General features: G+C 44.4%; 1 protein-coding gene across 2 annotated transcripts in view, besides 4 other annotated features; it reads right to left on the bottom strand.

Moving 5' to 3' along the window:
* The window catches only part of ZNRF3 (zinc and ring finger 3), a 173,917-nt gene that overhangs the window by 55,560 nt on the left and 94,013 nt on the right, over window positions 1-24,344 (bottom strand). For both annotated transcript variants that reach the window (NM_001206998.2, NM_032173.4), the window contains exon 2: window positions 14,728-14,853. In NM_001206998.2, coding sequence (NP_001193927.1) covers window positions 14,728-14,853 — 126 coding nt within the window. The remainder of the gene's footprint in view (window positions 1-14,727; window positions 14,854-24,344) is intronic.
* Window positions 534-1,099: an enhancer, noted in NCBI's record as "H3K27ac hESC enhancer chr22:29396818-29397383 (GRCh37/hg19 assembly coordinates)". NCBI's record gives its function as "activates a minimal SCP1, AML or CMV promoter by ChIP-STARR-seq in primed H9 embryonic stem cells {active_cell/tissue: H9 hESC(primed)}" and the evidence as "EXISTENCE:reporter gene assay evidence [ECO:0000049][PMID:30033119]".
* Window positions 1,100-1,666: an enhancer, noted in NCBI's record as "NANOG-H3K27ac hESC enhancer chr22:29396251-29396817 (GRCh37/hg19 assembly coordinates)". NCBI's record gives its function as "activates a minimal SCP1, AML or CMV promoter by ChIP-STARR-seq in primed H9 embryonic stem cells {active_cell/tissue: H9 hESC(primed)}" and the evidence as "EXISTENCE:reporter gene assay evidence [ECO:0000049][PMID:30033119]".
* Window positions 12,719-13,519: an enhancer, noted in NCBI's record as "OCT4-NANOG-H3K27ac-H3K4me1 hESC enhancer chr22:29384398-29385198 (GRCh37/hg19 assembly coordinates)". NCBI's record gives its function as "activates a minimal SCP1, AML or CMV promoter by ChIP-STARR-seq in naive H9 embryonic stem cells {active_cell/tissue: H9 hESC(naive)}" and the evidence as "EXISTENCE:reporter gene assay evidence [ECO:0000049][PMID:30033119]".
* Window positions 18,070-19,269: an enhancer, noted in NCBI's record as "BRD4-independent group 4 enhancer chr22:29378648-29379847 (GRCh37/hg19 assembly coordinates)". NCBI's record gives its function as "activates an origin of replication core promoter dependent on BRD2, P300/CBP, MED14 and CDK7 cofactors, and independent of BRD4, by STARR-seq in HCT116 cells {active_cell/tissue: HCT116}" and the evidence as "EXISTENCE:reporter gene assay evidence [ECO:0000049][PMID:35650434]".

The raw sequence follows: 24,344 nt of genomic DNA, 5'->3' as shown, positions 1-24,344 counted from the left end.
CTTAAATATATGACCCATGTAAAATACTACAGTAAGGACAACTGGCAAATCTCAGTGACAGAATGTGCCTTCCAATGGTTTCTTAGATATGACACAAAAAGCACAAGCAACCAAAGAAAAAAATAGATAAACCAGACTTCATCAAGATTAAAAACTTTTGGCTGGGCGCGGTGGCTCACTGTAATCCCAGCACTTTGGGAGGCCAAGGTGGGCAGATCACTTGAGGTCAGGAGTTCGAGACCAGCCTGGCCAACAAGGCGAAACCCCGCCTCTACTGAAAAATAAAAAAATTAGCTGGGCGTGATGGCGTGTGCCTATAATCCCAGCTACTCGGAAGGCTGAGGCAGGAGAATCGCTTGAACACAGGAGGTGGAGGTTGCAGTGAGCCAAGATCATGCCACTGCACTCCAGCCTGGGCAACAGAGCGAGACTCCATCTCAAAAAAAAAAAAAAAAAGTTTAAAAAATCTTGGGTTGCAAAGGTTATCATCAAGAAAGTGAAAAGATATCCCACAGAATGGGAGAAAATACTTACAAATAATGTATCTAATAAGGGACTTATGTCTAGAGTAAAGAACTCTCATAACTCAATAAACTCAATAATAAAAGGAAAAATTCGCCAATTAAAAAAATAGGTAAAGCTCCATCCTGGTTAACATGGTGAAACCCTGTCTCTACTAAAAATACAAAAAAATTAGCCGGGTGTGGTGGCAGGCATCTGTAGTCCCAGCTACTCGGGAGGCTGAGGCAGGAGAATGGTGTGAACCCAGGAGGCGGAGCTTGCAGTGAGCTGAAATCGCGCCACTGCACTCCAGCCTGGGCAACAGACTGAGACTCCATCTCAAAAAAAAAAAAAAAAAAAAAAAAAAAGGCAAAGCTTTGGGAGGCCAAGGCAGGAGGATCATGAGGCCAGGAGTTGGTGACCAACCTGGGCAACAGAACAAGACCTTCTCTCTACAAAAAATAATCTAAAAATGAGCTGGGTGTGGTGGGCGTGCCTATAGTCCCAGCTACTCAGGAGGCTGAGGTGGGAGGATCGCCTGATCCCGGGAGGTTGAAGCTGCAGTAAGCCATGGTTGCATCACTGCACCCCAGCCTAGAAGCATCCCACCCCCATCTCATTCCCACTCTCGCCGTGTGATACACCAGCTCCCCCTTTGCCTTCTGTGGTGATTGTAAGCTTCCTGAGGCCCTCACTAGAACCAGATGCTGGCAACACACTTCCTGTACACCTTGCAGAACCATAAGTCAATTCAACCTCTTTCTTTATAAATTTCCCAGTCTCAGGTATTCCTTAGAGTAATGCAAATGGAATAATACAGTAACTGAAATAGTAAGATTAAGTTGATGCTATAAATTGTAAATTGTAACTACACCTTTACAGTTAGGTTCTAAAAGATGTTAAGATTTCATCAATTAAAACTTAAAAAATTAGAAAACACCAAGAAAATGACTATGTTTACTAAGAAATGAAAAAAGAACCTTCTAAAGCTAAAACATTTTAAAATTTAACTTCTAAAAATCAAGCCAAGGTTAACAAAAATTCCTAGCATATTTCACATTCTTTTCTCTGAGGTTCTTTTGTGAATTGATACATTTGTGAAAACCTCTAGCAACAGGTTAATGTGAAATAGTAAAGACCACATACCTTTATATATAGCACAAGAAATAGCCCACGTTCTTCAGGCTGACCAGAATTTTATTTAATCCAACAGTGCTTAGAACAAATGGAATGTGTTGAAACTCTTTTATTATTTTTATAACTAGCAAAAATGATGCAAAATTTAAAGTATTTCAGTACCCCCAAAGGAATTGTTTAGACTGTCTCAAACTTAATACTCAGCACAAAAAGCATTACTCAGACCAGAGAGCCTGATGCTTGATTTGGAAAACAACATCACAAAAGCAGAATGGTCCCCTGTACCTTTTATCAAATAAAATATGGTGCTTTTGGAAACACAAAGGACAGAAGAAAAGTAATTGCATGTCTCTGCAGTCTGAGGTCTTGTGACCAAGGCTCACAGACAAGCTTTCTCTGCCGTCCCCTTTCCTTCTGTCTCTACATTCAGTGAGAATTTATGTCACCGAGGTTAGGGGTGTGGTGCTCTCCTGCACAGGTGCTATACAAGTACACTGAAAGGGAGGGGGAACTCCAGAAATGTCCAGGTTTTCTGGGAGCTTCGTAGACAGAAAACCAATCATGTGCAGTCACTGTCATGGTAGCCCCAGCAACCTGCAACGCACTCGAGTGACTGCCCACTGTTGTGGCTGGCATAACGTATGTGCATGGCCAGATGTATATGAGGCCTCTCTATTTGAGAACAAAAAGCAGATGGGACTTTTGGGCTTGTCTCCAGGAATGAGAGATTCTGGCCAACTGACCCGATACTGGTACTTCCTCTATCCTTCAAAATGGCCTCTCAAAGGTAGACAAGTTCAGTAGCTTTCTTTGAGAGTCAGGGGTCTCGCTCTATCACCCAGACTAGAGTACAGTGGCACAATCATAGCTCATTGCAGCCTCAAGTGATCCTCCCACCTCAGCCTCCCAAGTAGCTAACCATGCCCAGCTAATTTTTTTTCAATAGCTTTTTTTTTGGAGACAGAGTCTTGTTCTGTCGCCCAGGCTGAAGTGCAGTGGCACCATCTTGGCTCACTGCAACCCCCACCTCCCAGGTTCAAGCAATTCTCCTGCCTCAGCCTTCTGAGTAGCTGGGATTACAGGCACCCACCACCATGCCTGGCTAATTTTTTTTTTTTTTTTTTTTTGTATTTTTATTAGAGATGAGGTTTCACCATGTTGGCCAGGCTGGTTTCAAACTCCTGACCTCAAGTGATCCGCCCACCTCTGCCTCTCAAAGTGTTGGGATTACAGGCATGAGCCACCGCACCCGGCTTCAGTAGCTATTTTTGATGGGCTTTTCAGCTGGCCAGTCATACCATCTCTAGTTCTCTGATTTAGCCTCATTTGTGACCCTTGTTGCATCAAGAGCCTGGTTCAATGGATGGGGACAGTGGCAGGGAGGAGTGTCTAGAGCTAGGCTTCCCCCAGTCCTGGGAGGTGGCCAGCCGCCTGTGCTCCTTGGCTTGACAGACACATTATTTGTTCTGTTAACTCACTCTATCTTCAAAACTCTCTTAAGCCTCCCAGTGGATCTCAAATAATGGTTTCAGTTAGCCTTTTATAGCTAAAAATGTCTCTGATCTAGTTTTTTAAAAGTATTGTGCTTAATATAGCCTTTTAACCAAGAGGTTCATGGAAGATTTAGGTGGTGTAGATGAAAAGCATCAAATTAAAATTTTGTGACTTTCAAATCATACATATGACCTTAGAAGAAAACTTGTATTCCCTGAGTTTTTCCACTTACATCATGCCAATCTTTTCTTTCTGATCTGATTTCCTTTACTAAGTTTCTTGCTTGCATCCGGTTTTAATCAAATGTAGGAGATAGCTACCCAAGTGCTCCTTAAAATAAATATGAAGAGCTTTCCAAACTTCCTCCTCAACAAGAAACCCATCTTGCTCACCTTAGAAAAGGGACTTCCATCTGCTTGGTAGCAGTATGTTTAGAAATTGATAGTGATATTTGTTGAGTATTCACATATTCCAAGAACTTTACATACTTTTTTTTTTTTGACGGAGTCTCGCTCTGTCGCCCAGGCTGGAATGCAGTGGTGCGATCTTGGCTCACTGCAACCTTTGCCTCTCTGATTCCAGCGATTCTCCTGCCTCAGCCTCCCGAGTAGCTGGGATTACAGGTGCCCGCCACCATGCCCGGCTAATTTATGTATTTTTACTAGAGACGAGATTTCACCATGTTGGCCAGGCTGTCTCGGACTCCTGACCTCAGGTGATCCGCTCGCCTCAGCCTCCCAAAGTGCTAGGATTACAGGCGTGAGCCACCGTGCCTGGGTCATACTTTTTTTTTTTTTTTTTTTTTTTTAAAGAGCCAGGGTCTCACTCTCAGTTGTGTGATTATAGCTCACTACAGCCTTGAACTCCTGGGCTCAAATGATCCTCCCATGTTAACCTTCTGAGTAGCTGAGACTACAGTGTGTGCCACCATGCCCAGCTATTTTTTTGTTTTTTTGTTGAAATGAGTTCTCGCTTGTTGCCCAGGCTGGTCTGGAACTCCTGACTTCAAGTTATCCTCTCGCCTCCCAAAGTGCTGGGATTATAGGTGTGAGCCACTGTACCCAGCCACTTTATTCTTTTTTTAATTATCAGAATTCACTTTACAGAGGCGGTATGGAGAAACGGAGGCAGAGAGGTTAAACAGCCCAAAGTAACCCAGCTGTTACTGAACAGAACGATCACTTGCACCTCAGCTGTTCAGCTTTAAGATCTAGGCTCTTCACACTCCTCAGATGGAGAGAGGAATGTGCCAGAGCACCAATTCCCAACAGAACCATAGCACAAAGGCTACCAGGAACCTGTTGTTCATGGCAGGCAATGGGGCAGAGAAAGGAATGAAGGAGGAAGGGGAACTCCACTAGATACCAGTAAGCACCCCCACTCCCACCCCCCAACCCTGACATTTTTGAAGACCAAAAATGTTTCCAGACATTGCCAAGTATCCCCTGGGGTGAAAATTGCCCCCGTTTGGAAACAATGTGATAAGAGGACCAGGGAAGGTACGATACCGTCAGTCCCAAATAGTTGCAGCGTGCTTCCAGGGATGCCATGGCAATAAGCAATAGTCAGTATGCCCCGTGCTCAGGTACATGACAAATACCTACTTGTTTCACTGACCAGAGAAGGCCTGGTGAGGCCAAGACCTATGATGTGGAACAGCTGTGACCAGGTCCATGGGACAGTTAGCCTCCTCCCCTTCCCACAGCAAATCAGACCCAAGGATTCCGGCCCAACCGTCCCTCTTAAGTTGAGAATCTCACCACTCAGGAGTGCTAAGCTGAACTTGGGTTAAAGCCGAGGGCACTCAGGTATCCCAGGAAATACAGATCTGTGATCAAAACCCCAATGAGGATGGCATGCGGAAGGATAAGGCCCCTCATCCCCACAATATCTACATGGCTTATAAAAAACTCTGTAGCTTTACCCAAGTTCCTGTCTCAAGTAAAGACCCATCCAGGTAAGCCCTGTTCTACGTCAAGGTTGAAGGTTATATCCCAATGCAAGCAGCAAAGATATTCAGATCTTCTTCGCTGAGGTTCTTCAAATTCACTGTCTGGTTGTTTGTTATTAAATGTGGAAAACTGCAACCCATTGGTTTTACTCAAATTACTAACACTTCAGAACCAACATTCTTTTGGCCCCAGTACTGCAGAACAGAATAGTTCACCTTTACTCCCTGTATTGTCCTCTAGTTTCTGTTCATTTCCACTGATTTTATAGAAGGGTTTCTCTAACCCAGCTAAGCTCTCTGAGATGATCTTTACAGTGGGGCCATAATGCCAGCTCAATGAACTCAGATTACAGACCTCCTTCACATTCTCAAAAATGATTAAGAACCCCAAGAACTTCTGATTTGGTTATATCTATTGATATTTACCAAATTAGGAATTATAATCTGAGAAATCTTTAAAACACAGAATATGCAAGCACACATTCCATTAGTTGTCAGAGTGATGAAGTCACTACACACAATGATGTCCCTGGAAAACCTCACCATACATTTGTGAGAGAATAAGAGTGAAAAGGGCAAATGTCACTTCAATATTACCATGAAAACAGGCTGGGAACAGTGGCTGATGCCTATAATCCCAGCACTTTGGGAGGCTAAGGAAGGAGGATGGCTTGAAGCCAGGAGTTTGAGACCAGCCTGGGCAACATAGTAAGACCCTGCCTCGAAAAAATAAAAATAATTTCAAAATAATATTACATGAAAACAGTTTTGGCCAGGCACAGTGGCTCACGCCTGTAATCCCAGCACTTTGGGAGGCCAAGGAAGGTGGATTGCTTGAGCCCTGGAGTTCAAGACCAGCCTGGGCAACATGGCAAAACCACATCTCTATTAAAAATAGAAAAATTAGCTGGGCATCATGGCATGTGCCTATAGTCACAGTTACTCGGGTGGCTGAGGTGGGAGGATCACCTGAGCCTGGGGCACAGAGGTTGCAGTGAGCCAAGATAGTGTCACTGCACTCTAGCCTGGGTGACAGAGTGAGATCCTGTCTTGGAAAAAAAAAAAAAAGGCAGTTTTGATCCTGTGGGTGCTCCTAGAAAAGACCTTGAGAATCCCTACCAGCCCCCAGCCACACTTTGAGAACTGCTGTGCTAGATTAACACCTACACTGTAATTTTACGAGCTTTGACTTTCATCAGAGAACTCAGTGAGACAATGGTCAGAAAACAAAAGCCCAAATTCTGAGAGGTTTGGCAAAACCCATTCATCATCATAAGGTGACTGCCCCCTTCCTGGATTCTTCCTGAGTTCTTTTTCCTTTAAGTACCAACCACACTCCATCACTGTGGTACATATCAGGTTCTGGCTAATATTTAGTGAAGAAATTCAAACATCTTTGGATTTCTTCTTTTTTTTTTGAGATGGATTCTCGCTCTGTCGCCCAGTTTGGAGTGCAGTAGCGTGATCTCGGCTCACTGCAAGCTCCTGGGCTCACGCCATTCTCCTGCCTCAGCCTCCTGAGTAGCTGGGATTACAGGCGCCCGCCACCACACCAGGCTAATTTTTTTGTATTTTTAGTAGAGATGGGGTTTCACCGTGTTAGCCAGGATGGTCTGGCTCTCCTGACCTCGTGATCCACCCGCCTCAGCCTCCCAAAGTGCTGGGATTACAGGCGTGAGCCACCCCGCCCAGCCTTGGATTTCAATTAGTTTGATTTTCCTATCCTCCATCCACTTTGTCATGAAGAGAGGATAACAAATAAGTCTGTCTTCCCTTCCCCGAAATTCTCTATTTTGGGAGTTGTTCTTCAAAAGTAAGTAGAAAATTTCCCCAGGGCATCCTGATGCACAAAGAAGGGTTTGGTCTCTGTCCTCATTGTACCTAGATTGTCCAGAACACTCCTTGGGAATAACATTCTATGGGATGCGGGTTTGCTTTGCCCCAGGATTCAGTAACATCAGTCACCCACTTCTTTCCTGGAGCAACTATGCTCCATCGCTTAAGGAAAAAATTGCTTATTTTTTTTATACCCACTGCTCTCAACTTCCATATATTATGAAATGATTTAAGTAATACCATTGTTTTTTTAACTGTGGTAAAATATACATAACATGAAATTTGCCACTGTAATCATTTTTAAGTGCACAGTTCAGTGGCATTAAGCATATTCACGCTGTCATCCAACCATGACCACCACTCATCTCCAGTACTTTTTCATCTTCTCAAATGGAAGCTTCATACCCATTAAACAACTCCCCTTGCCCCATACCCCACCCCAGCAACCACCATTCTACTTTCTGTCTCTACGGATTTGACTCCTTAAGTAATACCACTTTGAGTGATAAAAGGAACGAAGGAGCCGGGAGCGGTGGCTCATGCCTGTAATCCCAGCACTTTGGGAGGCTGAGGTGGGTGGATCACCTGAGTTTGAGACCAGCCCGACCACCATGGAGAAACCCCGTCTCTACTAAAAATAAAAAATATAAAATAAATTATCCAGGCGTGGTGGTGCATGCCTGTAATCCCAGCTACTCAGGAGGCTGAGGCAGGACAATCACTTGAACCCGGGAGGCGGAGGTTGCAGTGAGCCAAGATCACACTATTGCACTCCAGCCTGGGCAACAAGAGTGAAATTCCATCTCAAAAAAAAAAAAAAAAAAAAAAAAAAAGAAAGGAACTGAAGGACAATAAAGGAGGGAGAGAGAAAGGAAGAGAAGATGGACAATAAGAGTCAACACCTGGTTTAGTGCTTTTGGTTGTGCCAGGAATGTGATCAACACTTGATATACATTATCTCCTTTAGGGGCTATTCCCATCTAAACACACAGACGCGTTAAGTGACTGCAGGAGCTCACAGAGCTTAGAAGGCTTGGGGCTGAGTGCGGTGGCTCACGCCTGTAATCCCAGCACTTTGGGAGGCAGGAGGATCGCTTGAGTCTAGGAGCCTGTTGCCTGGGTAATATATTGAGACTCTGTCTCTACAAAAAAATTAAAAACTAGCTAGGTGTGGTGGCACACACCTGTAGTCCCAGCTACTTGGGAGGCTGAAGTGGGAGGATTACTTGAGCCCGGGAGTTTGAGGCTGAAGTGAGCCATGATTGTGCCACTGCACTCCAGCCTGGGCAACAGAGCAAGACCCTGTCTCAGAAAAGGGTTAGAACTGGGGTTGAAACCTGTGTTAGTATGATGACTAAACCCAAGTCTTAACCCTTACATGCTCCCCCTCTCCCAATCACTTTGAAAAGTCAAGGTTCCTTTGACTCGGTTCTCTGTCTTCTGGTCATTTTGGTTACCAGAGTCTGTATTTGTGCTTTGCAAAGAAGTTCCCAAGACACTGAGGGCTGGACGTGGGTTAGTGGGCTGACCATATGGTTCAATTTTCCACCCACCTCTCGTACCTTGGTTTCCCCGCTGCTTATCAGAAGAGCCAGGATTAAAAACCAGCTCTCCTCCCTTTCAACATAGTTTTCCACCTTCCCATGCTGTTGGACATGTTGCTCCTACATTTCACATTTGCTTAAATGTGCAAACAGAAAGGAGAGATGGCAAACATGAAGAGCCCTCAGTAATTTCCGGGCTTGAGCCCCACTAAAGCATTTAAAATAACAGATGCCTGGTTCCACTGGGTTCCTCAAAACATCTAGTGGCAGGGTAACTTGATCTCTCTCCAACCAGAATAGATGCCACTGCCAAGTGAACATTCCCAGAATACAGATTCTACAACACCTGCTCTTTTGTCAGAAGCCTTCAGTGGCTCCCAGCTCTTTAGAGAATGAAGACCAAACTCTTTCACTTGAGAGCCTCTTCCTTCAGCAGCAACTTTCAATGCTCCTTGAAGAACATCTTGCTCCCTTTTCTTCTGCCCTGTTCTGGAGATTCTTTTCCTACCTCATCCTGTCTCCTCGTACGTCTGTCTTACACAACCCCCACTCTGTAAAACCTGCCCAACTCCTCCAGTCCACGTGGACTCACTTTTCACTCACCACAATCACTCTCTGTGTTCAGGGGAAGAAGAGGATTTGATTCTATGTAGTACACATAGACCATGAGTTTCTTCCAGCTGAACCTTCTCTGAATGACTCAGGATAGACTGAGGACATCACCCACAAGCTCATGATCACATATATGATTTAGTGACTGCAGGGGCCTGCTATGAGGATGACAGCCCAGCACTGCCCCCCACCAGCTCTCTTCTGGAGAACACATCTTCCCCTTGCTCCCCACCTATGGCAGGACAGCCCCCAGGGTACAGCTGACTAGCCTAAGTGTGAGCCCCTGATCCAAGATGGGCCAATGAATCCCTTTTCTGGAATTTTTCAGACTCAAAACCCAGAGAGTTCATGCCCAGGGAGACTGGGGGGCTGCGTCTCCTACCAAATGGGGAGTGAGAGAATAAAGCAGATGCGTGGATGGAGAAGAGTTGAGGAGGGGGCCGCTGGCATCCAAGCCCTGGAGTCAGGTGCTGTGGAAGGGCATCAGCACCCCTGTCATGGGTTCTGTGACATAGCCCAGAATCCTCAGAGCAAATTCCTCTTTCTGCTCAACAGAGCTCAGGCTGAGTTTCTATTATGTGGAACTAACAGTTTTAACCAAGCCTTTGACTACTAAAAGGCATCTGATTTCTTTTTCGTTTTTCCGGGGGGTGGGGGGTGGTGTGCGGGGCCGGGGCGGGGGGTTGGGGGGAAGAGGGAGAGAGATAGGGTCTCACTCTATATCCCAGGCTAGAGAGCAGTGGCATGATCATGGCTCACTGTAGGCTCGAACTCTTTGGCTCAAGCCATCCTCTTGCCTCAGCCTCCCGAGTAGCTAGTACTACAGGCTCGTGCCACCATGCCCAGCTTATTATTTTTTTTTTTTTATTCTTTTGTGGACAGGAGGTCTCACTATGTTGCCCAAACTGGTCTTGAACTTCTGGCCTCAAGCAGCTCTCCTGACTCAGCCTCTCAAAGTGTTGAGATTATAGGTGTGAGCCACCGTGCCCAGGTGAGCATCTGATTTTTATCTAGAAAAACTGGCGAAGACAAAAGGAGGCAAAGAGAAGAAACCAACATTGATGAAGCAGAAGGGTCTTATTTCAGATCTTGGCTCTTGTAAGCTGTTCAATTTCAGGTTATGTAGAGAACTCTCTAGGACTCGATTTGCTTATGGTAAAATGGGAATCTGGATAGGATGTCAAATTAGCATTAATTAAAGGAGACGCTATAGGTAAAGCTCTCAGCACTCGGCGAGCACCCAACATGTGATGGCTGACTTCTACATGGTCATCCAACATTTCCCATAAGCCAGGCTCTGAGCTAAGTGCTCTACAAATATCTCACAGAGCCCCCACTACAATGACACAGGCAGCATTAGCCCTGCTGCACAGAGGAGAATGCACCGAGAACTGAATGAAGTACCCTTTCTGAGGTCAGTCAGCCAAGGCTGGGTCTCTGTGACATGAAACTCCCTTTCTTATCTTTTTCTCAATTTCCCCACATTGTACTATTAAGCCTTGGAGAGAGCTAAGGCCATGCCTATTGACCATACTGTTCTTCTTTTTTTTTTTTTTTTTTTTTTTTTTTTTTTTGAGAGAGGGTCTCTCTGTTGGCCAGGCTGGAGGGCAGTGGCACAATCTCAGCTCGCTGCAGCCTTGACCTCCTGGGCTCAAGCAATCCTCCCACCTCAGCCTCCCGAGTAGCTGAAACCACAGGCATGCACCACCATGACTGGCTAATTTTTGTGTTTTTTGTAGAGATGGTGTTTTGCCATGTTGCCCAGGCTGGTCTCAAATCCCTGAGCTCATGCAATCGGCGCGCCTCAGCCTCCCACAGTACTAGGATTACAGGCGTGAGCCACCACGCCTGGCCCATGCTGTTTTCCAAACCTCTCCCTAAGAATCTTCTCTAACATGGGGTGGTGGTTATGGGGCATTTATTCTGCCTTGAGTTACAGAATCAGGGCCAACCAGGCTTTGCTAGAAACGCCAGCACCTCTCATGTTCCCTGCCATGAGACTCTCCACAGGTAAAGCTATTAAAGTCAACCTTCAAAATTCTTAGCTCTATAAGATGCTTAATAAACACTGATTGAATTGGAGGGTTAAGATGCCCGGGACATAAACATAGACTCCTTTGCTTTGGGGATGGTTTAAGACCCTTACATTGATTGACTGATTGACTGATTGATTGACTGGAGACAGGGTCTTCCTCTGTCGCCCAGCCTAGAGTACAGTGGTGCGATCACAGCACACTCCAACCTCCACCTCCAGCAATTCTCCTGCCTCAGACTCCCAAGCAGATGGAACTACAGGTGCATGCCACCACTCCCAGCTAATTTTGTATTTTTAGTAGAGATGGGATTTCGCCATATTGGCCAGGCTGGTTTCAAACTCCTGGCCTCAAGTGATCTGCCCGGCACGGCCTCCCAAAGTGCTGGGATTACAAGTGTGAGCCACCGTGCCTGGCCAAGACCCTTACTTAATAGCAAACTCTAAGAAATGTCAATTTTATTCTATTTTAACTTCTTAGGACTTAAACTGCCACAGGTAACAGAGCCTGTTTTTCAATGCTGTAACTAGAATCTCTCCGAACTAGAATATCAAAGAAAGATTTTAAATATGATACAGAAGCTCAAAATATTAGAAGAACAAGGAACCCACAACAGCCTCTCCACATTAAGTACAGGAGAGAGGCTCAGAAAGCTGGAGAGATGCGCCCATGCCTGGTCTGAGGCTGGGCCTGGCCTGGCGCCCTGGCCTGCTGCTCCCCTGTGGGGTCTTGCCCTCATCCCAACGCTGCCTCCCTAGCTGATCCTGACTGTACCTCCTCCCACAGAATGGAAAAGAAGAGAAGGAGGGGATCATAAATCATATTTCTCTCATGAGTTTATAGAGTTCTTTTCTGAGAAGTTCAAAAGCACTCAGTAATAAACTGAGGTGACAAGTTTATGCCTTTTGCTTTTAAAATGAAATTTTATTTGAACTCTTGGAGAGGCATTTACGTGTTTTAATTTAGGACATCCTCTCTTATTTCAAGGTTTCACCCTGTGGCATTGTCTGTAAGTACGCGGGTAGGTGAAGAGGGTGGGTGGTGGGGAGGGGGTTAGCCTGTGTCTAGGCCACCCCTCTTCTCCCACAGGCTTTTCCGAATGCCTGGCCCGCCTGCAGCGGACAGAGTCCTCCCTTCGTGGGTTTTCAACAAGTTTCAACATCCACAGGAAGGAGCTCCCACCCCCAAGCTAGCTTGGCTGTTTTCCTCCTATGCCTTTTCTGCCTCTGTCCACTGCCTGCTTCTTCAGAGCCAAGAAATGGATGGAAAATCATGAATTCTGCAGGGACTAAGCTGCCCAAGGGGATAACTTTGCCTTCCTTTAACCTATTTTTTTGCTACCAGCCCCCGGGGGGCTCATAAAACAAGAAAACGCAGTTGTCAAAGTTAATGAAATTGAGACTGAGAACAACCACACTTTAAGAAGATGATGAGAGAAAGAGGGGCGGCAGGAGAGAGAGGGAGGAAGAGAGAGAGATCTTGACTCATCGCACCTCCTACACTGGCCCAGGCTTTAAACAAATGCAAAACTGTCTTTCTTTGGCCCAAGCTTCTGTGCTAATGATTTTATTCAGGTGTAAACTCAAAGCCAAACTGCAATGACTAACCATGTGCAAATGCTGCCCGCCACCAGCCTCTCCAGAGAAACGTGGGGGCTGCTGCTTGCAAGCAGGTAGAACCACATGCTCAGCTTCTGGGCCCCTGCATCCAATAAATATTTGGTGAGTGAATAAACTTAAGAAGCACTTAATGATTCAATATATGCCTAGGGTTTTTTATTCCCCCTGGCATCACAGGCTAGCAGGCCAAATCATACAAAACTCTCCAAGTAAAACCACTACATGGTTGTTCCAGGCAGAGGAGGAAATAGTTGGGTTCTCTGAGTGACTTCAGCAAGTTTCCCCACCGCTAAACCATGGGAGAACTATAGGGTGACCCTGTAATCCCTGTTCCAACCCATTTATAGATGCGAGAGACACAAAGATGGAGCCCCACCAGACCGGGGCAAAGCAAATGAAGTCAAGGAGCCAATTCCTGCATAAAGTACAAGAGAAAATGTTGTATTAGGAGCGTAACACCTACAAGGAAAGCACTGTTCCTACCCTGTAGATGTAGCTGGCATTTCTCCTAAGAAAACACTAAAATATTCTCAAGGGGGTCATTGCTCTCCTACCACCACTAAGCAGCTCTGGCCAATTATTTAAATGATGAAGTATCAGGGCCTGAGCCACCTAAAACACCTCGATTCAACTTTGTGAACTGTAAAGCAAACAGCTAATAATTCCTGTGGGGTTATTTTTTCCAACTAAAGGGCAGGAGAACTTGACAAGTGACTTGAAGTTATTCAGAAGACAAGAGGGATGCAAAAACCACAAAAAGATTAGACCTGTGAGGGTACCTGGAGCCAAAGGTCTTTCAGGAGACACTGGCAGGGGCTACTTTAAGTCTGGAAAGTCTTCCCTCTCTAGCACCCTGCTTCAAAACCACCCCTTGTCTCTCCTGGATTTCTCAAGAGAGCCTCAAGAGGTTAGGAACCAGGACAGTTTTTTGCCCCAGCTCTCTCCCCATGGTACCTAGAATGGCAGCTTTTGAGAATATAAAAGATATCCAGTCAGTACCACTATCCTTAGGACAGACTACCTTTCTCCCAGCCAAAATTCAAATCACCTTCTCTGAACCTCTCCTTTTAACAAAATGATGCAGTCTAAACAAAATCCAGTTTAAAACAGGTTGTTACCTGTCATATTTTAAGATTGTTGATGAGTGGCTTTCCAAAGTAAATTTATTTCTATCTTATACTGCAGTCAAAGTAATGCTGACCCTCTTGGCTAAAAAGTCTTTTTTAGTACTTCTAAATGGAGTGATGGTAGCCAATGGCAGCAAACGTTTATTGAGGGCTTACTCTTGTGTGAGGCGTTTGCATCTCATCTCACCTCCTAACCACCTATGAGGTAAGTTCTAATACAGGACCATAATTGCTGTCTGCCATTCTGAAACCAAAAAAAGCTCTAAAACCGAAACATTTTCCCATAACTTACTTGGCAGCAAAACTTAATGGACCTGAACTCATCTGGAGGCAAAGCTGCCGTGAACTAACACGAGGCTATTTAGATTTTAGTTATCCCACTTAATGTGAAGATCTCTATGGTTTGCTATACAAATGTGAATGTGTTTGGTTACTGAGTGCCTCCCCATGTCTCTTGGAGGTTACTTAATATAAAATCTATACCCCTTAATGCCTTTCTAAACCCCCCAAATCTCAGAATTCTGAAACATCTGGCCCAAGGGTGTAAGATAAAGTATTGTGAATCTCTATTATTAGCCCATTTCACAGACAAGAGACTAAGACTCCTTGAGGGGAAGCAACTTGCCCAAGGCCACACAATGGACAAGAGGGTAGAGCCCGCTCTGAGACTGGCAGTCTCTTTCAGTCTGGGCTTGTAAACACTGGTGGGCCACTGCAAGGCATGTCTCAGTCCCCACCTCATGCAACTTCAGCCGGGAAGGAGCACTGTGCCAGCATGGCTCTTCTCCATAATCAACTATTTGAGGAATGCTGAAATGGAAGAGTGGAAAACACCAACCAGAAACACAGTGATTCCAAGGGCCTGGTGCTTACCTTGCCTAGGACAGTGAGGCATGGTTTCGGGTCCAATTCTGGCTGTTCCAGCTTCACCACTCCTACCCAGCCATATTCATACAAGTCCTCTTCGTCATTGTTATTACATAGGCCCAGTGGGTGCATCTAGGAAATAAAATGGAAAGAAAACTTCAGCAGGCAAGCTACACATTTGCTTGACTCATATTGTGTATTTCTCAGATGCTATAGCCAAAAGTAACGTCAAAACTTAAAATTTTAAGAGTGGGGACAGTTTTTCAACCCAAGGGGAATTTTATTTCAGCACAATGAGCTGAGCACTGGGGAGAACACTATAGAGCCATTATAAATGTATGTTATGCATGCTTTTTTACTGCCTTGTAAGTGATGGTGATCCAAGGTGGAAACTGCCCAATAGGATCTAGGGAAAGAAAACAGCACAATTCCCATATAAATGCCAATCTAAATTGCTGTGAAATACCATAAATTTAACACTAAGTAGCAATTACAGACGAGACTAGCTATGTTAGTATCCAAGATTGTTTGGCTTCTAGACTTCAACAACATGTCTACTTCAACTTACGCAAGAGGATCTGGAAACACATCCCGGACTCTATGCAGAGACCACAGAAATCACCAGTGTAATTAACAGGCTGTTTAAAGGCTACCCCTGGTTACTGGGAAACAGATAAAATTCTTTGAGGTCTTTTCAAAATTTGCAAAGCACAAAATCAAAGATGGGCAGATAAGCAGTGTCAAATTTCTGTGTGTGAAAGTGCAGTCAAACCAGAACAACCCTAAGGTTTGTGCTCACAGTTCTATCACTGAGTGGTACCAGGCCCTAGAATCCCTAATAACAATCTGAGAAGAGGAAATCCTCAGGGATAAACATAACTTATCAAGAAGCTGATAAGCCTAGCACTGTGTGTGCTAAGCTCTTAAATAAGTGGAAGAAATACGTCTTTAGATTCATGACAAGTTAGAAACACAAGAGACCTAAGAATGCACTCTAGACAGAATATGGCCCCCAAGATATCTATGTCCTAATCTCCAGAACCTGTGCATAAGTTACCTTACACAGCAAGAGACTTTGCAGATGTGATTGAGTTTGAGATGGACAGATTACTGAATTATCTGGGTTGGTCCAGTGCAATCACAAAGGTCCTTATAAGGGAAGCAGGGAAGCATGAGAAAGATGGAGAACAGATGTGATGACAGAAGCAGAGGCTGATGTGCTTTGAAGGTGGAGGAGGGGGCCGTTAATCAAGAAATGACGATGGCCTCTAGAAGCTGACAAAGATGAAAAATGGATTCTCCCCTCAAGCTTCCAGAAAGAATGTAGCCCTGAAGACCTGTTTGGGACTTCTGACCTCCAGAACTGTAAGAGAATGAATTTGTGTTGCTTTAAGCCACTAAGTTTGTAGAAACTTGTTACAGCAGCAAATAGGAAACTAATACACCCACATTATCCCCTACTTGTTTTACAGATGAGAACAGAAATCCAAGATAAGTGGCTTTTCCAAGACACAGCCAGTATGTGGCACACCCAGAGGTGACCAGGCCCTTGGATTCACAATCCAGTGCCTTCCCACTCCACCACTTGCTTACTTTATCTTCCCTTCCTCTGAGAGCTGACCATCTGACAGGGAAAGACTAAGAGATAAAATCCTTAGAAAAAAAGTTTCCAGCTCTAAATCCTGTGGTATTCAAGCGTAACATGAGTTTGGTGCAGGCAGCAAGAGTTGCTAGAATGTTTGGGGAGGCTTTGCGCAGCTGCTGAGCCTCGAGTGAGCTTAGAAGGAAGAGTTAGACTGATCAGGGCAAAACGAGAGAGAGAGGTCAGTTCCAAGCCCGGGGAGGAGTTGCTAAGAGATGATATAGAGGGGAGAAAAGGATGCATCCAGTCTGATGAGTAGGAAGGGTCACTGTCTACACTGAGAAGGAAAGAGAAGGGCTCAAAAACCAGGATGGAGTCTGGACACCAAGACAGCATTACAGGTCCTTAGGCAGAAGATTGTGCACTGAAAGAAGTTATTTTAGGCAGGCAGGTAACCTCTTGGAGCAGTGGTATTCTTGGACTCCAGAGACAGCAACGAGTGGAGGGCAAAGGGTGCAGGCCAAAAATGAGAGTTCCTTGACAATTCAATGAAACAACAGGAAAGGGGTTGCACAAGCTCATAAGGCAGGTGAGAGGTCACCACTGCTGAGCACAGGGCGGCCAGCAGCTGTCTTTATAGTGGGTGAGAGATATCCCACCCCTTGGGAATTCCAAGATATGAGATAGAGGGCCCTGGGATCTAACTTTGCACAAACTTTCAGGCTCATGGAATTTGCCTGAAGGGCCAATGGAGGTTCTGCGGTGCCATGGGTGGGGCAACCTTTCCTCCAGGGTGCCCGTGCAGGATTCAGCCCACTCTAGAATGTTCTACAGTTATTAAACAATGAGTAGTCTGAAATGCTGAGACCTCCAACTAGAAAAAGGATGAGCAAGAGGGATGAGCCAATTATGTCAACAGCTCAGGCACCTCTGACCTCCAGGAAAGGGCTCAAGACCCGGCTCACTCCAGCACAGCTCAGCCAGCTTCCTGAAGTCCCAGGTCAAATCATGGTAACGGCAACCAGTATTCCAAGGTATTTTTAACCTGGCCACACAACTTGGAGGTTTCCAGATGAATGGCTGCTTTTGGTTACTTATACATTTATGGGGTTTGGCCAATGATAAAGAGTTGCTTTGGAGGAGCATAGGTATCATCTGGGTCTAAGACTTTGCATCTATATCAAAACTTTACTAAAGAAAGAAGCCAGGCACAAAACACCGCATATTGTATGATTCCATTACATGTCCAGAAGAGGCAAAACCATTGAGACAGAAAGAAGACTAGTGGTTGCCAAGGGCAGCAGGGAGGGGCAAATAAGGAGTGACTGTTCAATGGGTACAGGGCTTCCTTCTGGGTGATGAAAACGTTCTGGAACTAGATGGTGGTGAAGATTGCACAACACTGTGAACATATTAAATGCCACTTAATTTCATGCTTTAAAATGATTAAAATGGTGAATTTTATATGAATTTCACAATTAAAAGGTTTTTTTTAAAAAAAAAAAACAAGCAACTGTCCTAAGAGCTTACTCAGGAATGACTTACGCCCTGCCTAGCACTGCCCTCAGCTAACACGGGGATCCCACAGTGAAGGACAATGTGGTTTCTACCCTTCCAGAGCCTAAGTGAATTCCAGCAGCCCTTCAGGAAACTGGGTCCTGCAGAATACTACCTACCACAAGATGAAAAACAGGTTCTTGCACAAGTAAATAACACTGAGAAACTCTTCACAGGGACTCAGGATCTACATGTGTGAATTAAAGCTCTGCAGTGGCCAATGGTTTAAAAAGGCTTTTAACCTTTGCTAAAACCACCATTTCCTACCCTTTGTTTATAAACTTGTTTTGCATTTAATCTGATCACACTATTTCATGGGACACACGTTGAGAGATGCTAAGTTAGGGAGAACACATACACACGCATGGCAATAAACCTACAGTAAATATGACATGAGGTAAAGCTAAATGTCTGCAAATGCTGAACATCCATGACGCAAAGACTTAAGGCCATGGTAGAAAGAAATGGAGGGACAGTCGAGGGCAGCTGGAGAAAAGACAAGGCTTGGGAGAGCGGCAGATGTGGAGGACGGGGAGAAGACAAGGAATGGAAACCAAGAGGCAGCTGAAGCCAAAGCCGAGGCCTGACCCACTGCAGCCAGTGAGGTGGAAGTGGGCCTGACCAGGCCAGAGGCTTACTCTCTTGGAGGAGCAGAACACACGGCCTCAGGAAAGGCATGTGGAGAGCGTGTCCGGGCATGCAGAAATCTGAACTATGAAAGCCTCAAACACACCCAGGGGTCCCTCGGGGCTGTCAGGCTGGTGCCCTGGGCCACATTTCATTGCCAGGCTCTCTCCCCTCCTAAGCAGTCATTCCTTCCCACTCTCCTCCAAACTCCTCTATCAAATCTTCCTGACACTGGGATGGGTGACTGTTAGCAGCTCAACACATCAGCCCCGTCAAGGGCATTGACTTCTGAACAGGAATGAAAGCCTTTAAAACTAAAAGGAATTTTTCTAAAGTGCCAGTGGGAGGGACGCTTTACCCTCTTGTGGAGGGTAAAGAAGCCACTGAGATCACATCTCAGAGGATAGAAAACTTACCTCACCATCCATTCCACCTTCCCACTTCCACCCTAAGTTCCCTCTCTCCTGAGCTCCTTATTCCAGTTTACATCTCCAGTGCAAGTCTGTTAATTCAATCTAACAGGCTCCTTTGACCCACCTATTGAATATCATATTATACGATTCAGGTCTCTGTCAGCTGGCCCCTGACGACAGCATCGGCCACCCTAGGCCTCCAGCCATTTCCACCCTGAGGTTCTCTTTTCCCAAGGGCTCCAAGTTACGAGCTCAGGAGATGTTTTTATAGAGAAGCAGAAGTAGTCATTATGTGAAAATATTCTTAGGGAACTGACCTGTCCCAAGGATGGAGTATTCTAGGCAAAGGCATAAAATGCAAATGAACATACCATTTCATTTGCATTTTATGGGAAAAGTGAAACAGAGGCCTTTCCTATTAACTGGACATCTGCAATGTTAACACTTTTTTTTTTTTTTTTTAAAGGCAGGGTCTTGTTCTGTCACCCAGATGAGAGTGCAGTGGCGTGATCACAGCTTACTGCAACCTCGACCCCCTAGGCTCAAGCAATCTTGCCACCTCATTTATTGACTTTTTTTTTTTTTTTTTTTTTTTGTAGAGACAGGTCTCACAATGTCGCCCAGGCTGGTCTTGAACTCCTAGGCGCAAGCAATCCTTCCGCCTCAGCCTCCCAAAGTGCTGGAATTACAGGTGTGAGCTGCTGCACCTGACCGGTTTACACATTTTAATCTCTTATTTAATCCAACAGTGAACTCCTGCTAATTGTTGGAATATCAGATGATATAGTGACTAAACTATGTAAATAAGTTGCAAACTAGAACTGCAAATCAGCAACCAATGCAGAATTTAACAGAGTCCATGAAAGTCCTATTAGTCAACAACTGGATTCCACTCAAAGCCAATGGCAAACAATCTAGTTAAGGATTAAAGAAGAAGAAACACGCATGGGAGCTTCCACAGAGAATGATCAAAGGATTAAGAGAGACCTTTGGAAAAAGTGAGAGTCCTCTCAGTTGGAAAACAACTTTTTTTTTTTAGACGGAGTCTCCATTGCCCAGGCTGGAGCACAGTGGCGCGATCTCGGCTCACTGCAACCTCTGCTTCCCGGGTTCAAGCAATTCTCTTGCCTCAGCCTCTTGAGTAGCTGGGATTAGAGGCGCCCGCCACCACGCTCAGCTAATTTTTGTATTTTTAGTAGAGTCAGGGTTTCACCATGTTGGCCAGGCTGGTCTCAAATTCCTGACCTCAGGTGATCCACCCGCCTTGGACTCCCAAAACGCTGGGATTACAGGCATGAGCCATCGCACCCGGCTGAACTCAAACCTAAGTGAAGGATGCTATATGCACAGTCTTATACAGTTTTGCTGAGAATATCCCCGCATGGCCCACAAGAGATTCAATCTTTGTTTATTCTCAAAAATCAGTACAAAGCTGCAATTATAATTTAAATATAAACCATTACTTTCATTTTTATTTTTTAAGATATAGCCCCAATGAAACCTTTATTTCTACTTTCTCCTAAGAAATACTAGGCCCTAAACCAGGCATAGTGACACACACCTATAATCCTAGCTACTGGGAGGCTGAGGTGGGAGGATGGTTTGAACCCAGGAGTTCGAGACCAGCCTGGCCAACATAGCAAGACTGCATCTCAATTTTTTTAAAAAGATAAAAAAGAATTATTAGCCTCTGATTTTAAAAGATCCCAAGGTCCTTATCTGGATAACAATCATCTGTAGAGAATAAGAACCTTCTCTGTAAGAAATTCCTAAACTCTCCCAAAGTTTCAGCTAGACACTACTTCCACACCATCCCTGCAGTCATCAGGTAAAAACCAGGCGTGTTATTCACACATGCTAACACTAGCCAGCGACATATAGGCACTGACTACATATAAGACCTGTGTGGTTCTGAACGCCTAATCATTGAAAATTCATCGTAGGATACTTCCGTGTATGGTGTTAAGCATGTTAACTTTGAACTTAATGTAGCATATAAGCATTTAAAAGTTATAGGCATTTCTGAGTTTATTTTCTTAAAATATTTGGATGGGTAGGGCTTTCCTAGTCAGATGCTTGACATTTATGTTTTTGCCTTATTATTTTTAAGAAGATTAAAAACAGCTGAATTGTGTGTAAGAACTCAAGAACTACTAATGAAAACGTAAAGAAAAAAATCAAATAGACATGGAAACCCTAGACTGGAACCAAGACTCCATCCAATAGAGAATACTAAGGGGAAGGATGGCTTGAAATGAGAAGACAAGAAAAACTTCTGGGGCAGATTCACAGAAGAACTTCATGCAAATAATTAATAAGCTACAATGAAAGTGCAAGGATATAACAGAAAATATGTCCTGGGTTATAACTTTGATTTTGTTTTACTTTTGCTCTTTGTGCAATAACTTTGGGATACTTGACATCTTGCTTAAGTCAACTGAAGGAAAATGCCTACTCACTCCTTTATCAAGAGTTTGACATTATTATGAAACTGTGGCTCTTACCCTCTCACTCCTTATTTTGTTCCAAGGGATATTTTGGGAAGGAAGGAATGAGATTTGAGATCATGCAATCTTGTGTTGAAATCTCACTTCTGCCTTTTATGAGGCACATCACCTAGGCAGATGAGTTGATTTCTATAAACCTTGATTTTTAAAATTATTTGTATATATTGAAGTGTGATTTTGTTACATGGCTATATTGTTTAGTGGGGAAATCTGGGCTTTTAGTGTATCTATCACCTGAATAATGTAAATGGTACCCATTAAGTAATTTCCCATAATCCATTCCCCTTCCCCCCCTCCACCCACCCTTCTGAGTCTCCAATGCCTGTACTTCCACACTCTATGCCCCTATCTGTTTTCCATATGGATTTTCTTATCTGTAAAATGGAGACTGTAGCATCTGTCTTAACTGATATGGACAAATACAGACATCGTTAAGGATTAAATGAGATAAAATACATCAACATAGTAACACCAGTAGACGTTCCATCAATGGGAAAGCTCTCTCCTTCACCTTCTCTAGACCTGTCATGTCCATTTGCATTTTATGCCTTTGCCTTGAATGCTTTGCCCTTCAAGACCAACTTAAATATCACCCCTTCCACGGAGCTTTCTTGAATGAACTAATACTTTTTGATTCTCAAATGCTTTGTATGGTGCTTACTGGTTCCTACAGCCTCCCCTCTAAGATGGGCACCTGCTTCTAGAAAGACAGTCTTATTCAGAAGTCCCCTTTCACCCTACACAGAGCTTTGCACCCAACAGGTGCTCAATAAATGACTGCTGGCTGAACAAATGACCTCTGGCCTGGAGGCAGGCCTGCTGCCATGTCTCTTGCTGTTTTTGCTGAGCCACTTGGGTCTCTGCTCTGCTAAGTGAGGGACCAGGGCAAATAGGTCAGGATTTAATTAACTTGCTGCATGAACTTTGAAAGACCTAGCTCTTACAGTTATTGATTACTGAGTCATCAAAGACATTTCCAGGACAAAAAAGATTTACTGGCAATGGTATAGGAGCAAAGGCTGCTCCTCCTTGGCCTTGCTGTGGGGCCACAGCAGCCCAAGAACGCTGGGGTGGCTACTGCTTTCTATACACAGAGACCACAACACTGGTGCCCTTCACCATGACAGCACCTTGAAAGGACAGTAGAAGGGGAAGGAGAATAGAAGATGTCCTCCCCAAAAAAGCAAGTCTCAAATTTTCCCATCCACGTCCAACCTCAGGAGTTGCTGTCAGCAACAACAAAACAAAGAAATAAAACTAAGGAAAAGGCAGGCATGGGATCCAAGCACAGGGACTCCCACAGATTAGAGAAATAAAGAGAAATCCCAGGACGATGGCTTTGCAACCAGCCTGTTGAATGACAGGTCCAGATGGGGCCAGAAGGATGAGGCTACAGGACAGCCAAACAAATAACAACAAAAATATGACTCATTACCCAGTGGGTTAGATGGTACTGAGGAGAGTTTTATAGTTCTGAACAAGAGGATGACACGTGATAGTTACAGCAAACTAAAGTAATGGAGGGCCAGGGTGAGGGGAGCAATGATTAACTCCAGAAAAAAAACAAAAACTTACACCAGGATTGGAACCCATAATCAGGGTATGACCTATGTGATATAACTACATTGGAAGAATGCAGGAATGAGAAGAGGGGAGTGAAAAGCAAAATCTTTTTCTACAGGAGGAGGTCAATAAATTATTCTGCAATTGACTATAAGAGTTACAGAAATTTAGAAAGAATCACAGAGATGAAGACAAAAGAAGCCACTAAAGAATTGAAAATGGTTGCCTCTGGGAATAGCAATCAGGGGTGGTGAAGGTGAAACAAGATAATGCTCTTTTTTATTATAAACCATGATGTACGCTTTGTCTTTTTATAAACAGACACGTGAATTATTTTAATCAAAAATTTTATGCACTGCTGGAAATAAGTCCCTTTCTCCAAGTGTTCCAGCAGATTCTATGGGTCCTTCTCACTGGAAAAGGCAGAGAAGGATTTCATCAGGACCAAGAGAGACCCCACAGGCCCCCTGCACTGAGGAGTGGACATCTGAAGGGAGACTTCGTCTGAGACGGCTGTTCTGGGAGCCATCCAGGACGTGGGCTGGGGATGACTCAGGGACACACGGTAAGAGAAAGAACCAGCAGCTTTCACCACCCTTCGCAACCAAAAATAGCTCCCAGGTGGCATCAGAGTGTGATATAGATTTGGGTGTTACAGAGACGGCAGACACAATAACCAGGGTGATTGTTCTGAGAAGCTCCAATTTTCTCCCAGATACAGATATAACCTCTAGAAGAGGAACTCAACATTCCACTTGCATTTCTGAATAGTTACTAAGGCAAAATGCTACCAACAAGCAATGCATATACCTGGCCATCTCTGGTACCAGGTATCAAACAACTGGTTTTATGTTTAAATATGAAGATGAACTTTCTTCAACTTCCTCAGAGCCCAGTGAGACTGACTATCATGGTTTCATGTGGTTTCATGTTTTGTTAATGGACAAAGAAGCTAGGGGAACTTCGAAGCCAAAAGACGATGTCAGACAAGGTTAAATATCTGGAGAAAAAGAACTATGTTCCCTTGAGTATGGTACATCAAGCCAAACTTTGAAACCAAGACCAGCTCTTTAAGAAGCTTTCAGTACAAAATCCTTGAGATATACTGGTGCACTTTCCACATGTCTGAAAGGGCAAAACTGAAACTAGGGCTAGTGGTGCTTTTATCCAAGGTTACAAATCTCTACACTAGGCTGAGAGTTTAAAATAACTTCAAAAGAGCCGCCTGCTTCTAAGTGGGTTACTGTTACACAGAAGCCAAATACTAAACTAATAGGAGGACGAGACATTTCACTCTGTAATATTATCTCATCAAAAAATTCCTGGGGATTTAAAAGGGAAACTTCCTTCCTTTTGTTCTTTTGCCACTGTCGG

The sequence above is a fragment of the Homo sapiens genome, chromosome 22 (assembly GCF_000001405.40).
Source record: "Homo sapiens chromosome 22, GRCh38.p14 Primary Assembly".
NCBI lineage: Eukaryota > Metazoa > Chordata > Mammalia > Primates > Hominidae > Homo > Homo sapiens.
The sequence above is the reverse complement of the archived record's forward strand: the minus strand, read 5'-3'. Positions and strand labels throughout refer to the sequence as shown.